The 15,629-nt window shown below is 41.6% G+C and overlaps 1 protein-coding gene and 1 long non-coding RNA gene across 2 annotated transcripts in view; both read left to right on the forward strand.

Moving 5' to 3' along the window:
• The window catches only part of LOC101927598 (uncharacterized), a 59,204-nt gene extending 58,490 nt beyond the window's left edge, over positions 1–714 (forward strand). Inside the window, exon 8 of the long non-coding RNA XR_002957605.2 lies at positions 680–714. This is a non-coding gene — a long non-coding RNA (uncharacterized LOC101927598). The remainder of the gene's footprint in view (positions 1–679) is intronic.
• Positions 715–1,868: 1,154 nt separating this feature from the next.
• The window catches only part of GNG2 (G protein subunit gamma 2), a 143,622-nt gene continuing 129,861 nt past the window's right edge, over positions 1,869–15,629 (forward strand). Inside the window, exons 1-2 of the mRNA NM_001389707.1 lie at positions 1,869–1,925; positions 3,363–3,502. The gene's annotated coding sequence lies outside the window, so the exon portion shown is untranslated. The remainder of the gene's footprint in view (positions 1,926–3,362; positions 3,503–15,629) is intronic.

Raw genomic sequence — 15,629 nt, forward strand, 5'->3', positions numbered from 1 at the left:
ACAAAAAAAATAAGAAACCACCAAACTGTTTTTCAAAGAAGCTGTATCATTTTACATTCCTACCAGCAATGCACAAAGCATCCAATTCCTCCACATCCTCATCAACATGTGGTATTGTCTGTCTTTTTGATTATAGCCATTCTACTGGGTGTAGAATGGCATCTCATCGTGGTTTTTGTTTGCATTATCCTAATGACTGATGATATTGAACATATTTTCATGCTTTTACTTCCATTCCTATATCTTTTTTGATGAAATGTCTGTTCATATCTCTTGCCCACTTAAAAAAGGTTTTTTTTAAATTATTGAGTTGTAAGAGTTCTTTATATATTCTGAATACAAGTTCTGTATCAGATTATGATTTGAAAATGTTTTCTCTCAGTCTATGGTCCATCCTTTCATTTTCTTAATGGTGTCCTTTGAAGCACAAAAGTCTTTTAACTTTGATAAGGTCCAATTTATTATTTCTTTTATGCATCATGCTTTTGATACTGTTTCTATATTATGTCAAAATAAGAAATTTTATATAAATACAATATTTAATATTATAATATGTATAATATATAATTTTATATGAATATATTTACTATTAAATATACTATGAGGAAAATTAATACCTAAGCTACCTCAATTATTCCTCCTGACATACTTTGTATTTTGTTTTTGTTTTTTGAGACAGGGTCTGGCTCTGTTACCCAGGCTGGATTGCAGTGGTGCAATCTCGGCTCCTGTAACCTTCACCTCCTGTAACCTTCACCTCCTGGGCTCAACCCATCCTCTGGCCTCAGCCTCCTGAGGAACTGGGACTTACAGGTGTGCCACCACACACAGCAATTTTTTTTTTTTTTGTATTTTTGGTAGAGATGGGGTTTCATCATGTTGGTCAGGCTGGTCTCTAACTCCTGGGCTCAAGTGATCTGCCCATCTCAGCCTCCCAAAGTGCTGGGATTATAGGCGTGAGCCACCGCACCAAGCCCTACTTTGTATTTTGAATAGAAGCAACAGCAGTGATGGGATTCGTACTCCAAACCTCAGCGTCACACAACATTCCCATGCAGCAAATCTGCACATGTATCCTCTGTATCTAAAATAAAAGTTGAAATGTTTTTAAAAAGAAGCAATGGTAGCACTCTGTTTTAAACTAATGTTAATGTTCTCAAAGCCACAGTGGAAGAAATCCACTACATATCACCTAGAACTGGAGATCTAATCTGACAGGTGGGCCACAGTACTAATAATGTGAGCACAATTCCTATACAAAATTTTATTAAACTGTATTAGTTGAGCAGACAAAACTACACAGACACTCTTCTCTCTGCCTTGTTCCTTCTTGTACTCTGTTTCCTGTTTGTGTTTTTGTCATTTTCCTTTATGTGTGTATGTGTGATTTTCTTTCCTGCCTTTGCTGGAGCTGTCACCATGTGGATGGGAGACCCTCAAATCCCCAGACAACTGGTTTCCCAAAGGGTTGCTGGATTTGTTGCTTTTTCATTGTTCTGACAAGAGCTATGTGCCTGCCTTTGTTGAGTGGTAAATACGTGTTGGAAGCAAAAGCATCACTAATATAATGCTTTATGCTACTGAGGCAACTTTCTCATTAGTGCCTAGCATACTGAGCAAAGAAGCTGGGTTCCAGAAATAAATAGAAGTGAGCTGTTGACAGCATGAGCAGAGTCCCCTTTTTACATGGCAAGAAAGAGAGAGAGAAAGATCTTAATTCTGAATACCAAATTAAAAAGCCTTTAAAAGAGGCATCTGGAAGGATTTACTCCTCCTTCTGAATCAGCCATCAGTGGGCAGCAAGAACTGAGAAATGATGCTGTCATGTATATGAGAGGGTGATAGGAAAAGGGGGAGAGTTAGAGTCTAGTGAGGCTGAGGGTTGCAGGAGAGCATGCAGAGCCAGCAAGAGCGGATGGCTGAAGGTACTGTGGCCCTTCCTATCTGTGGGTTCCCAGACAGGGATCAAAAATATATATTAAATAAATAAATGACAACAATTTTAAAAATACAAATTTTGAAAAGAAAATATAACAACTATTTACATAAGATTTACTTTGCATTAGGTATTATAAGTAATCTAGAGATTATTTAAAGTCGTTGGAGGATGTGCATAGATTATATGCAAATTTTAAGTCAGTTTCCATCAGGGACTTGAGCATCTGCAGATTTTGGTATTGGTGGTTGGGAGGCAGGGGTGGTCTCCAGAACCAATACCCCACCTCGTGAGTATTGAGAACAACTGTATACATGCCATTAATCATGCTGAGTGCAGTGATGTGGGTGGCGGAATGGAGGCATTGACCTGAAACAGGAACACCTCATTCTCTGAGATGAAGGGATAAGAGGGAAGCAAGGGTGTGGCTACAGATAAACTAGTTATTTGGATGGAGTAAAATATAGAAAGAAATCACACTTGATGGGACCAACGTTACTTGCTGAAGTAGGAGATGAGGTCAGCTGAAGAGTTCAAAAGGGTGAATTAGAATGGTGAAGTTTTGGAATTATCAGTGAAGGAGAGAAAAGAGAAACCAAGGATAAGTTAAAAGACCCATAAATAAGCACAGCTGGGATTAGGCACAGAATGAGATGGCTATGAGGTTTTCTCCAGCCATGCTTGATGTCTAGCACTTAGGAGCAATGAGAAGATAAGTTGACACAGATCCGAGGTTTCCTGGGGGAAGGAGCGAGGCTGACACAAGGTGAGAGGTGTAGTTCAGGTAATTCACCACACCCTTCAAGGTGGGCAGGTAAGGAAGGGAGGCTAGACGGTGACAGCAGCAGTTCCCAAACTTACCTGTATGTAGAATAATCTGGGGATCTTTTAAAAGTTCCAAAGCCCAAGCCACATCCCAGGTGAATTAAATCACAATCCCTAGGAGAAGGGCACGGGCACAGATGTCAATACTCTTTAAAGCCTTCCAGGTAATTCTAACATGAAGACAAGTTTGAAAAATATTGGGCACATACACTAGAACAGTGCTTCTCGAAGTGTAGTCCTCAAACTGGCAGTATCAATATCACCTGGGAACTTGTTAGAATTGCAAACTCTTGAGCTCTACTCCAGGCTTATCAAACCAGAAATTCTGGGAGCAGGGATTCCGCAATCTGCCTTAACAAGCCTTCCAGGTGATCCTGATACCTGCTAAAGTTGGACAATCACTGAATTAGGAGGAAAAGAAGAAATCCTGGTCCCGGTGATCCCTCTGAGAACAGATGTAGTGAGAAAGCTAGGAGTGGTATTTTTTGATGTCATACAGTTCCAGACTATAACTAGCTCAGCTTTGAGACTTGAGGTCAAATAATTAAAGCTGTGATTAGTGTGTTGGATGTTCATCCACGTATATGTTTACATATCCCAGAATTACACGCAGTGGAAAAGCAGCACCGTGGAGCTGGGTGATTCCTGAGCCCAACCTGTGCCTCTGGTCTAGGGGCATGCAGGGGAAATTGCAACCTCCAATGGAAAGAGAAGCAAGAGATGGTGTACCTTCAGGCAAAGGTAGGCTTCAACAAATGGTGATGGAAGGATACTGCAAAGAGGAAAACGTTGAAGTGTTTATTCTCTGAGGGAATGGTGGAAAGAGTAAAGAGCTTGGAGAGAGAGTCTGAGAGTGGGAGGACTCAGGAGGGAGCATAAAGCTGCGGAAGATGAGAGAATAACCCAGGATAGATGTTTGGGTTGTAGACGGTTGGGGGAAGGCAAGCACCATATGCCTTGGGGGCAGTGGCCATGGATTCTCGGGATGAGAGGCCTCGGTAGAACTGACTAGCTTCCTCAACATGAGTTATTTGGTGCCACTGTGGCTGATTGTGCAGACAGTCCTGCCATCATCCCCAGGGGAGCTGAGTCACTGTGTGGTGAAAGCCACAGTCTCCGGCAAGGCTGCTTTGTGCTGGGCAGGGAAGCTGCAGGGACTGGGGAAGCCACCTCAAGGTGAACAGGAGGTGGCAGAGCCTGGTCTGCGGTGAGCGCTTTCACACAGTAGGGAAGTTTTCCTACTTGCCTGAGCTCCGGATTGTTTCCCCCAGCAGGGAGCTGTGCCTGCCTGAAAATGGTTCCAGGGCACAATTGTTATCATAAAGGAAAGCAGGACCAGAAGAACCTTGACAACTTTTTGATATTGCTTATCCTAGCTCTGACTGATAAGGGGGCAGGAGGAAAAAAGGAGGGAAGGAATAAATCAAGGAGATAATCACAAAACAACAAGGAGATAATCACAAAAGCAGAAGAAAACATGTTGTTTTCACTGGGCTGTGGTTGGCTTATGATATCTGTCTGACTCACGGCCACACTGAGGATTCTGGAATGCATTCTACCCAGGTATGAAGTAGGCATCCTAACGGCCACAAGATGTAGCTTAGTTTACAGACCCATCAAGCTGCTTGGGTTGGTCTAAGGCTGGACTGTGAAGCTGGTGAAATTTGTTTCTGACTCTGCTATTTTCAGGCCTCTTCTCCTCCCCAGAAACCCTTCTCCTTGGTTTCTCCTGCCCCTATAGCCCTGCCCTCACCCTTCAGGAACACCCCAGGGGCTCAGGGCTGGGGACGGCAGAGGCTTAGCCCCACTACCTCCCCGCTGCCTGGCAGTTTGATGTGCAGACGTGACAGGCCCTCTGTCTCAAGATATTAGCTCTCTTCCACCATCACACTCCCCAAACCCTCTTGTCACCATTCTTGGGAATGCCAAGGTCCACAGTGATGATACTTTGATTCTTTGTTGCTCAGGAATGATAGTCACAATATTTAACAAGTGAGCAAAGGCACTGATAGGTAGAACAGACACCAGCTGTGAACACCTCAGTAAGGCAGCAAGGCACATGCTGGCCAAATAGCTGCATCCTCCTATCCACCTAGCCTTTCAGTCCTCCAGTGACCTGGTCCTCCTGTGCCTCAGCTGTCCACTCCCAGGTGTATAGCCTAGACTTGTTACCATCCACAGCAGCACCTTCTCAGTCATCATCTGCTGGCTTTCCAGCTTATCTCCCCAACTCCCAAAAGTTCTTTAAATTCAACAGTGCTTGGACACACCTGCAAGCTATTGATCATACCACCTTTTCACTATCTGTTACAAGGCCCCCAAACACTTACTCCCTCCTTACCTAGCTCAGATTCCAGAGCTCATCATCATTATGTCCTCATCTTACTTGTCTTTCTTTTGCTCCAGGGTACTCACGTGTCAACCCCCATCCTGGCTAAACCCAACTCATCTCCTACTACAGACCTGCATTTGCATAACTGCTATTTCCTACCATCCTTATAAATAAAAACCCTATCTTGATCCCATATTGCCCTCCACTGACCCATTCCCTTGCTCTCTTTTAGAGTAAATCCCTTAAAAAGAAGTATCAATCTACACTGTCCCCAATTCCTTCCCTGTCATTCTCCATTAAACTCACTCCTGTCAGGATTTCACCTCCACCACTCCAATTCTGCTCTCATCAAGACCACCAGAGACATCCACTGCTAAACCTAATGTTCAGTTCTCAGTGTTTATCATATTTGACCTATGCTCCTAGTTGATCACTCCCTACTTCTTCTTTTTTTTTTTTTTTGAGACAGAGTCTCACTCTGTCACCCAGGTTGGAATGCAGTGGCACGATCTCAGCTCCCTGCAACTTCCGCCTCCTGGGTTCAAAGGATTCTTCTACCTCAGCCTCCCTAGTAGCTGGGACAACAGGCGTGCACCACCATGCCTGGCTAATTTTTGTATTTTTAGTAAAGATGGGGTTTCACCATATTGGCCAGGCTGGTCTTGAATTCCTGACCTCGTGATCCGCCCACCTCAGCTTCCCAAAGTGTTGGGATAACAGGCGTGGGCCACCATGCCCAGCTCACTCCCTACTTCTTGAAGTGCTTGATTCTTTTGACTTCCAGGATTCCTAACTCTCCTGGGTTTCCTTCTCTACGATTAGCCATTCCTTTGTAGTTTTTTTCTGGTTCTTTTTCATCTTACTGATTTCAAAATACTGGAGTGCCTCAGAACTCAGTCTTTGGACCTCTTCTCTATCCATACCCCCTTATTGAGCTCATCTCCTCTCATGGCTTTTAGTACCATCTTTGTCCTCATAACTCCCAAGATTATATTTCTAGCAAAGACTCCTCACCTGGACTCCAGTCTCAAATGCCAATTGCCTATTGGACATCTCCACTGGATGGTTCATATTTATCACGTCCAGAGTGGAGCTCCTGATCTTACCTTCAATCTGCTTCTCCTGCATGTCTCCTGGCTCAGCAAATAAAAATGCTCTATATCCTTCTAATTAAGCCAAAAAGCAGAGTCAATTCATGTCTTCTTTTCACTTGCAGACTCTACATTGAATCCATAGCAAACTTTGTTGGCTCAACTTTCAATATGTATTCAGCCGCTAACCACTTCTCATTACCACTTCGACTGTGGTCCAAGCTGCCAATGTTTTTGACCTGAATTACTGAGATAGCTTCTTAATAAGCCTCCTTGCTTTCATCATTGTCCCCATTCCAGTCAACTCTCGTTACTGCAGCAAAAGTGCACCTTTTCTAACATGAGATTATGTAGTTGCTCCTCTAAAGTCCTCCAAAAGTTGTCCATTTCACTCAAAATTTCAGTTCAAAAGCTAAATAGTTAAAATGGCTGACAAGACCTGACAGCACGAGCTGTTTCTCCACCCTATTTGTCTCCAACCTTCTGTCCTGCCTCTCTCTCCTTTGCTCATGCCACATGATGGCCTCCTTGCTAACCCACAAATGCACCAGGCATGCTCCAGCCTCAAGTCCTTTGTATACTTGCCATGTTCTCTAACTGAAATGCTCCTCCTCCAGATCTCTGCTTTGCTAGTTCCCCAACTCCAAAAATTATTTAACTCCAACAGTTTTAATGTCACATTCCCAGAGGCCCCTGCGTTTAATATTACTATAAACCTCCTCCTCCTTTGTGTTAGCACATTCTAGCCTCCTTCCCTTTAAAAACATTTTTTGCCAACATCTAATTATTATCTAACATACTGTATTTGTTTGTTTATTACATGTCTCCCCCAGTAGTATATAATCTGCAGGAGGATGGGACAGGAATTATTGCCTGTATAGATCACTGCATAGTCCCCAGTACTTAGAACAATGTCTGGCACATGTACTGTGCTCAATACATATTTTTCACATGAAAGGATGATATAAATGAAAAGGACAGCAAGGGGGACAGCCTTGATCCATAAAATCTAGACTGTCGGTATCAGAAACCACAAGCAATAGGGAGAACTATGGTAATAAAAAGGGGTCATGAAAGAGCTATATGTTTGAGCAACCAATTCTGAGAGAAGGAAGGGAAAAGCTCATTTCTTTGTAGTAGTTAGAAATTATCTGGCACTTTTTCCTTCTCATCTCATGGTCTGTAAGGAAGTGGACTTCAAAACAAAACACACTTGATATCACTAGAGAAGCTCTACTATAACTGAATTACTTCATGACCAATGCCAGCATAGTGTTATTTTGAAAAATAAATCGCAGTCTAACATTTAAAAAGTAATATAAAATTTTTGATGAAGTCTCATAAAGTGATACCAAAGTGAAATACATTATAAAATATGCAGCATAATTCCTAAAGATTCTCTTCTCACTGTCAAAAGTATTATTTTCAAAATTTAAAAAGAGAATTCCTATACAAATACATAGTGAACATGTATCAAAGTTTTATTTTAACTCATTAAAATGATGGGGAGGCTGGGCTGGCAGCTTATACCTGTAATCCAAGCACTTTAAGAGGCCAAGGTGGGAGGATCGCTTGAGCCCAGGAGTACGAGACCAGCTTGGACAACATGGCGAGACCCTGTCTGTACAAAAAATACAAAAATTAGTCGGGCATGGTGGCACACACATATGGTTTCAGCTACTCAGGGAGCTGTAGTGGGAGGATCACTTGACCCCAGGAGTTCAAGGCTGCAGTAAGCCATGATTGTGCCACTGACACTCCAGCCTAGCCAACAGTGAGACCCTGTTACAGGGAGAAAAAAAAAAAAGAAAAGAAAAAGATGGCAAAGCTATTTCAAATGATGATAAGAGAATTTAATGTGTGTATATATATAGTCAGTGAAAGCAAAAATAAATGGAGAAATATGATTGCTAATTAGATACAAAACTATTACAGGGCAATAAACTGCTATCTTTGGGGTTATCTTTTCTACTTTAGAAATAATTTGCATCACTATAGAGCAAAAATTATTCTCTCTCAGTGTCTTAGCTGGGCTTCCATAACAAAATATCATAGACTGGGTTGTTTAAACAACAGAAATTTATTCTCTCACAGTTCTGAAGGTTGAGAGGTCCAAGATCAAGGTGCTAGCATGATCAGTTTCCATTGAGGGTTCTCTTTCTGGATTTTGGATGGCTGCCTTCTCCCTGTGTCCTCACAAGGCAGGCAGGGAAACCAAGCTCTCTAGTGTCTCTTCTTATAAGGGCACTAATTCCATTATAAGGGCCTCACCCTCATGACCTCATGTAAATTTAATTACCTCTGAAAGATTCCATCTCCAGTTACCATCACATTGAAGATGAGGGCTTCAATATACAAATTAAGGGGTTTTAGACACAGAGCATAGCAATAGGCAAAAATGGTCTAAAAAATACCTGTTAGTAAGTCAGAGAATTTTACACACTTCTGAATTCAGATGACTCTTAGGCCTACTAGACAAGGTCTTCGCAACAAGGAAGGTACACAATCATCTATTTTGCCTTTCAGAGATTGGAAAAATTTTCTCAACCTTACAACTCATTTCTCTATAGATCCAGTCAAGATTAAAGCTTATGGGGCCTGAAGCTTATACAATTTGTCAGGGGCAGGGGATGGGGGAGGCAGGTGCTCTGAAAAGAAGAAAGATAGATAATGAATATGTAAACACATTATTCAGGTCTGAGGGACTTGGAGGGAGTCAGTACCAGTGAGAATTTCATGGAAAATCTACCTCCGGTACCTCTTCATAGCAATTTTCACACCACCCCCAAATCTGTCTTCTAAACATTCTATGAAAATCTTCATCTTTAATGGGCTCTTTCCTTTTTCAACTTTTTTCCAGTCCCTCTTTGTTCATGAATTTCTTCTAATGTAGATCACTTTACCCTCTCTAGGTGTCTGCTAGTTCATCTAGTTCTTGGCAACCCATTATCTTTTCAGGAGAAGGCAAACAGTCCTCCTTAGAACCTGGAGTAGGGTAAGACTGTGAATACAAATATATAATAATAACATTTGCTCCATTACACTTACTCTTTAGGAGAAGTCCAGATGCCTCTTCAAAAGGTGGAGATGCCAGATAAAACTTAATGTGGACCATCCTAAGGAATTTTTAACAGTGCTCAAGAAGTCTTAAAGGGATTATAATTTGTGGAGTAACAGATATAATAGAAGGATGTGATTACTTGAGGGGCATAGAAATGATAATACTGATTTTTAGAAAAGCTCCTGGGAGTCCACATTCTATAGACTATCACTCACCTGTCACTATAACCAGTTCATCACAGCAGTATTGCTGTGTGCCATCTGCTGCAATGATGAATGAAATTACTTTCACATAAGAACCACCAACTATCTTTGCCACTTGCTTTCTCCTTTACAGTGATATTGGTGGCCATATGAGTGGTAGGGGTCATACAGTGTTTCCATAGCTTACAGTAGGTGTCTTGAGATCCATTCAACAATAGCATCAGACTGCCTTGAGACAGCCTCATCATGCAATACCAACTGAATTAGTAAACATGGCCCCTGCTCTCTGGACAATTTCTAGAAAAGACCAAAAAAAACAAAGGCAGACAAAATGATTGGTGGGATGTTGCCTTCATTCAGTAACTGCCTTTGAAATATATAACACATTGAAGCTTTTGGAGATGGGGGAAGAAGGGCATTTTAAAGGCTGGCAGGAGAAGAGCTGGAATTGTCTCAGAGGATTCCTGTCTATTAACTAGTGCGATGCAAACGCCTCCTTACCTATACATTGAAGTTCCCCCAGAACGCCCCAAGGCATTCAGCACTTGGCTCCCGAGCTGTGGTGGCTGGATACCAGCACTGTGATGGCTTCCATCCCTGCACTTGCCTGGCTTCTGCCTGCCACGGACTCCCCTGCCGAGGTCAGAGCCACATGGAAATGAGGCCTTCCTTGGTGACAGAAAACAGAGCTTGTCGACCAGCTGGGAGACAAGTGTCAAGTGCTGGGTCCAGGTGGCAGATGAAAGGCTGGCAAGGTGCTAATGTTATTCCCTCCAGAGAATGACAAGTCAGAAGACAGCTGCCTCTGTCTTACGCTCCTGTGTTGCGTGGATACCAATGCCACTGGGTCCTGGGTAAGGATAGGCACTTGCCCTCTCAATATTGAGATTGCTAAAGCCATTTTTACTTTCCAGGAGAATCCTTTCCATGAGTAAGAAGGAAAGCACTGGAGATGTCACCTAAGTGAATTTGGGAACACATCTAGCGCTATAATGCATGCAAAGTTGTTGAGTACCTGACCTGAAGTGCTTGTTAATAGAATGCAAATATTCTGGAAATAGATTTTCTTTTCCATTCCCTTCGGGGCATTCGATTTATTTGTGCTATATCCTGCTCTGAGTTAGAATACTTTATTATATACCTGGTTTAAAGTTACCCTAAATGTCTACCCCGCTTCTATATAAATGAATAAGGACAAAAATTCAGTGCTAAAAGAGCCGAGGGCTCTAAAAGTCAGCAGAGTCTTAACCAAGGTAGCAGAATGTAACTTAATAGAAGGTGAAGGATGTAGAATTAGGCTCCAGAGAGTGGCTCAGCTCCTTTCATGCCCTCTCTGAGGAACTAGCAAAAGAGGAGACAAAAGAAAGCTTCTAGGTTAACCTGATGTTTATGAATGGCCCCCAGCTCAGTTGAGGTGAAGAGTGAAGCTGAGAGTCAACAATTACTGTAAGAAGCAAGAAGCAGCAGTGAACTAATTGAATCACAGAAGAGGCATAAAGGGCCAGAAAGTAGGAGATGAAGAGAAAGACTGGGCATCTAGGCTTTTGACTCTTTTAGCATCTAAACCTACATTCTAACTTCATTTGTTTCATCCTGAGTAGGAGAAACATTACTATTTATGTTCAGACCTCAGTTCTCCCAGCTGTCTTTAGCTGTAATGTTTCAGAGGTCCAAGGCTATACAGATAAATAAGATAGCTGTTTGCAAACTGTCTTCCCCAGTTGCCTCTCCCCACCTCTCAACTTCAGCAAAAACCCACACCACCCCCTACCTTTGATTTGAGATATGCTGACCCAGCACGTCAAAGTCTAACCCACTCCTGAATCCCATGTTCTGTGTGTCTCTGCAAACACTCAGATGCATCTAGAAAGCCATTTTAAGGTAAACTTACAGGATCATCCACTGCTCCCCTGACCTACAACTTCTCAATAAAGAAAAGACCCAAATTTTTGAGGCTCCCAAAGCCCAAAGTGTCTTCCTTTTAGAATTGAGAACAAATGTAAACATTTAACAAAGTAGAAAACTTTAGCAAAAACTATATTTTTCTTTTTCTCCTCCATTGTAAATATTAGTCTTATTACTAATTTTCAGGTCTTTTGCTGGGAGATGCTTTAAGGAAGCTTTAAATGTCCAGTCTTAGAAGTTTCAGGATAAGGGCTTTACAGGGAAACATATATTATAAATAGATTTGGTAGGTGTCTTAGTTCGGGATGCTATACAGAACACTATAGACTGGGTGACTTAAACAATAGAAATTTATTTCTCACAGTTTTGAAGGCTGAGGTATCTAGTATCATGGCACTGGCAGATCTAGTGTTTGGTTCGGGTTCTCTTCCTAGTTTGCGGAAGGCTGTCTTCTCATTGTACCTTCATTTGGCAGAGGAGAGATCATGATCATCTCTCTCCTGTCTCTTATAAGGGCATGAATCCCATTCAGGAAGCGTCCACCCTCATGACCTGATTATCTCGCAAAGACCTCACCTCCAAATGCCATCACACTGGGGGTTTAGGCTTCAACATATGAATTAGTGGGGGAATGAAAACACCCAATGCATAGCAGTAGCTAGGGTAGTAGTCATGCAGTATCACAGGGAAAGCACTAGATTTGGAAGTGGTCTCTGTTCTATAAAAGTCACTAATTCATTGAGTCACCTTGAACTCTTTGTGCCAGTATTCTATATGCAACATAAGAATATATATTATGATGTTGCTTTGAGGGTTAAATAAAATAATGTATATGAAAATGCTTTTAAAAATATAAAAAGTCACATGAAGTTTTATTGTTAATTTTTAATATACTGCCTGCCTCATTAGTGTCCTCTCCCCTCACCACAACTCCAGCAAGCACCAGTATGCCATTTACCACTGGTTTTGCAAAACCTAACCAAAATCTATTAAGTCTAATGTACTTCTCCTTCCCCTACTCCATTCTCCTCTACACACCCTTAAATGTGCCTGGAAAAAAAAAATCATAAGGCAAATTTATAGGATTCTCTATTCCTGCTCATTACAATAAAAAAACCTTAATGCTAACCTATCACTAAAAGTTTGTTTTTATAAACAATAAAATATTTTCAATATTATGATTTTAAGTGACTTCATCTTTTTTTTTTTTTTTTTTTGAGACAGAGATTTCCTCTGTTGCCCAGGCCAGAGTGCAGTGGCATGATCTCGGCTCATTGTAACCTCTGCCTCCCGGGTTCAAGCGATTCTCCTGCCTCAGCCTCCAAAGTAGCTAGGATTATAGGCACCTGCCACCACACCTGGCTAATTTTTGTAGTTTTTAGTAGAGACGGGGCTTCACCATGTTGGCCAGGCTGGTCTCAAACTCCTGACCTCAGGTGATCCACCCGCCTTGGCCTCCCAAAGTGCTGGGATTATAGGCATAAGCCACCGCACCCGGCCTGATCTCAACTTAACGTTGATGAAATAAAAATAAACTGGAAAATCAGTTATGAAAGAAACATACCTCATTTAATATTGTTTCCCATACCTAGATATAGGGAGAAAAAAAGTTGGGATGAGAATAAAAGCTAAAGTTTATCAAACACTTATTATGAGCAAAGCACTCTGTTAATTATTGCCAGATACAAAATTAAAATATAACTCGGCCAGGGGTGGTGGCTCATGCCTGTAATCCCAGCACTTTGGGAGGCTGAGGCGGGTGGATCACCTGAGGTCAGGATTTGGAGACCAGTCTTGCCAACATGGTGAAACACTGTCTCTATTAAAAATACAAAAATATTAGCCATGTGTGGGGTCGCATGCCTGTAGTTTCAGCTACTTGGGAGGCTGAGGCAGCAGAATCTCTTGAACCCAGGACGCAGAGGCCGCAGTGAGCTGAGATTGCACCACTGCATACCAGCCTGGGTGACAGGGTGAGACTCCGTTTCAAAAAAAAAAAAAAAAGTATGACTCATTCAAATATAAAGGGAGCACAAGTCAAAGGTTTTTTAACTTGTTAATGAGGGAACCAGCAGGCAGTTGAAATAGGAAAAACTGAAGTATTTATAGAGGCTGAAAAAGAAGAATGTTTGAATAAGATTCATAATTTAGATACAAAATTGGTTCATGTCCAGAGGGCAATAATAGTGTAACCTTGGAGTGATATTTCCAACCAAGATATTTTTATCCCTCTGTATTGCTCTTTGACGAGAATTATTTGCATTGCTCCTATGAGTTAACTTTTATACTGAGAGTTGTAAAATATCCTCGTCAGTAGTAAATAGGAAGTCAAACAAAAGTACCCACCTGGAGAATCAGATAATCACCCCCTCAGGTCTACACACAAGCCCCACTGACACTGAAAAGACTTGCTAATTTCCAAGTTTTGGATAATTGTTAACAGTACCTTATGCATATTATATGGCAGAACTTAATATTCATTATTTTATGAGATCTACACAATTCTGAAAAGTGTTTATTAATGCCTGTAATCCCAGCACTTTGGGAGGCTGAGGTGGGCAGACCACCTGAGGTCAGGAGTTTGAGACAAGCCTGGCCAGCATGGTGAAACCCCATCTCTACTAAAAATCCAAAAATTAGCCAGGCGTGGTGGCGTGCACCTGTAATCACAGCTGCTCAGGAGGCTGAGGCAGGAGAATCGCTTGAACCCAGGAGGCAAAGGTTGCAATGAGCCGAGATTGCACCACTGCTCTCCAGCCTGGGCAACAGAGCGAGACTCTGTCTCAAAAAAAAAAGGGGGGGTTATTAATCCCATTTACACAGATAAACTGAAAATCAAGGAGATCAAGAAATGTGTCCAAATCCGACATAACAAATGATTACCCAGATCTGTTTACTTAGGAAGTCCTTGTTCCACTTGCTACAAATTATATATTGACAAAAAGAAAAATGTTTTAAATTTTTTATTGAGATACAGCATTCATATGTTAAAGCACAATACTCCCTAATAAACTCCCGTTTATATATACATCTATCGTATGTCCCTCTAGAGAACTCTAGCTAATACAGACTCCATCTCTACAAAAAATATAAAAAATTAGCCAGCTTGGTAGTGCACATCTTTAGTCCCAGGTACTCAAGAGGCTAAGGTGAGAGGATTGGTTGAGCCTGGGAGATCAAGGCTGCAGTGAGCTGTGATTGTGCTACCACTGCACTGCAGCCTGGACAATAGAGTGAGACCCTGTCTCAAAAAAAATAAAAATGCAAGACACTCAGCAATAAGTGACCCCATAGTATGTACACCCCATGGATGAATCTCCATTACAGTGTGCTAAGTCAAATAACTCAAGCCCATAAGACTACCTATTGTCATGATTCCATGTATTTGACATCTGGGAAAAGCAAAACTATACAGATTGTGAGCCCGAAATATCTGAGACAGGTCTTAGTCAATTTAGGAAGTTTATTTTGCCTAAGTTAAGAACACACCTGTGACACAGCCTGAGAAGGCCCTGATGACATATGTCCACGGTGGTCAGGGCATAGCTTGGCTTTATACATTTTAGGGAGACATGAGACATCAATCAACACATGTAAGATGAACATTGGTTCAGTCTGGAAAGGTGGGTCAACTTGAAGCAGGGAGGAGGCTTCCAGGTCATAAGTAGCTAAGAGACAAATGGTTGCATTCTTTTGAGTTTCTGATTAGCGTTTACAAAATGAGCAGAGGGATGACTTCGAGTTCTGTCTGCCCTTTGTCCTCAAGGAAATTCCTTGTGAGGGAGGTATCTACCTTTTTTGTCTTAGTAGCTATCTTTTTTGGGAATAGAATGTGAGGTGGGTTTGCCCTACACAGTTCCCAGCTTGCCTTTTCTGTTTGGCTTAGTGATTTTGGGTTCCCAAGATTTATTTTCCTTTCACAAGATAAAAACAGATCAATGGTTGTCAGACGCCAGGGGTTGGAGGAGTTAACTGCAAAGGAGTATGAGAGAATTTTAGGGGTGATGCAGCTGTTCTATATCTTGATCGTGGTGGTGGTTACATGATTGTGTGTGTTTGTCAAACTCACATAACTACTTTAAAAAGGGTAAATTTTGCTATATGCAAATTATGCTTTAATTTTTTTAAATGGAAAAAGAGCAAGATGTACCACAACATTTTTAATTTTTTAAACAGCTTTACTTTTAGTCATTCAATATAAATATGGAGTCCTGGAATATATGCAGAACCATGTCTAACTTCATGTTATTACAACTCTAGGGGTAGATCTCCAACA

This window comes from Homo sapiens, chromosome 14 (genome assembly GCF_000001405.40).
Source record: "Homo sapiens chromosome 14, GRCh38.p14 Primary Assembly".
In the NCBI taxonomy this organism is placed as follows: Eukaryota; Metazoa; Chordata; class Mammalia; order Primates; family Hominidae; genus Homo; species Homo sapiens.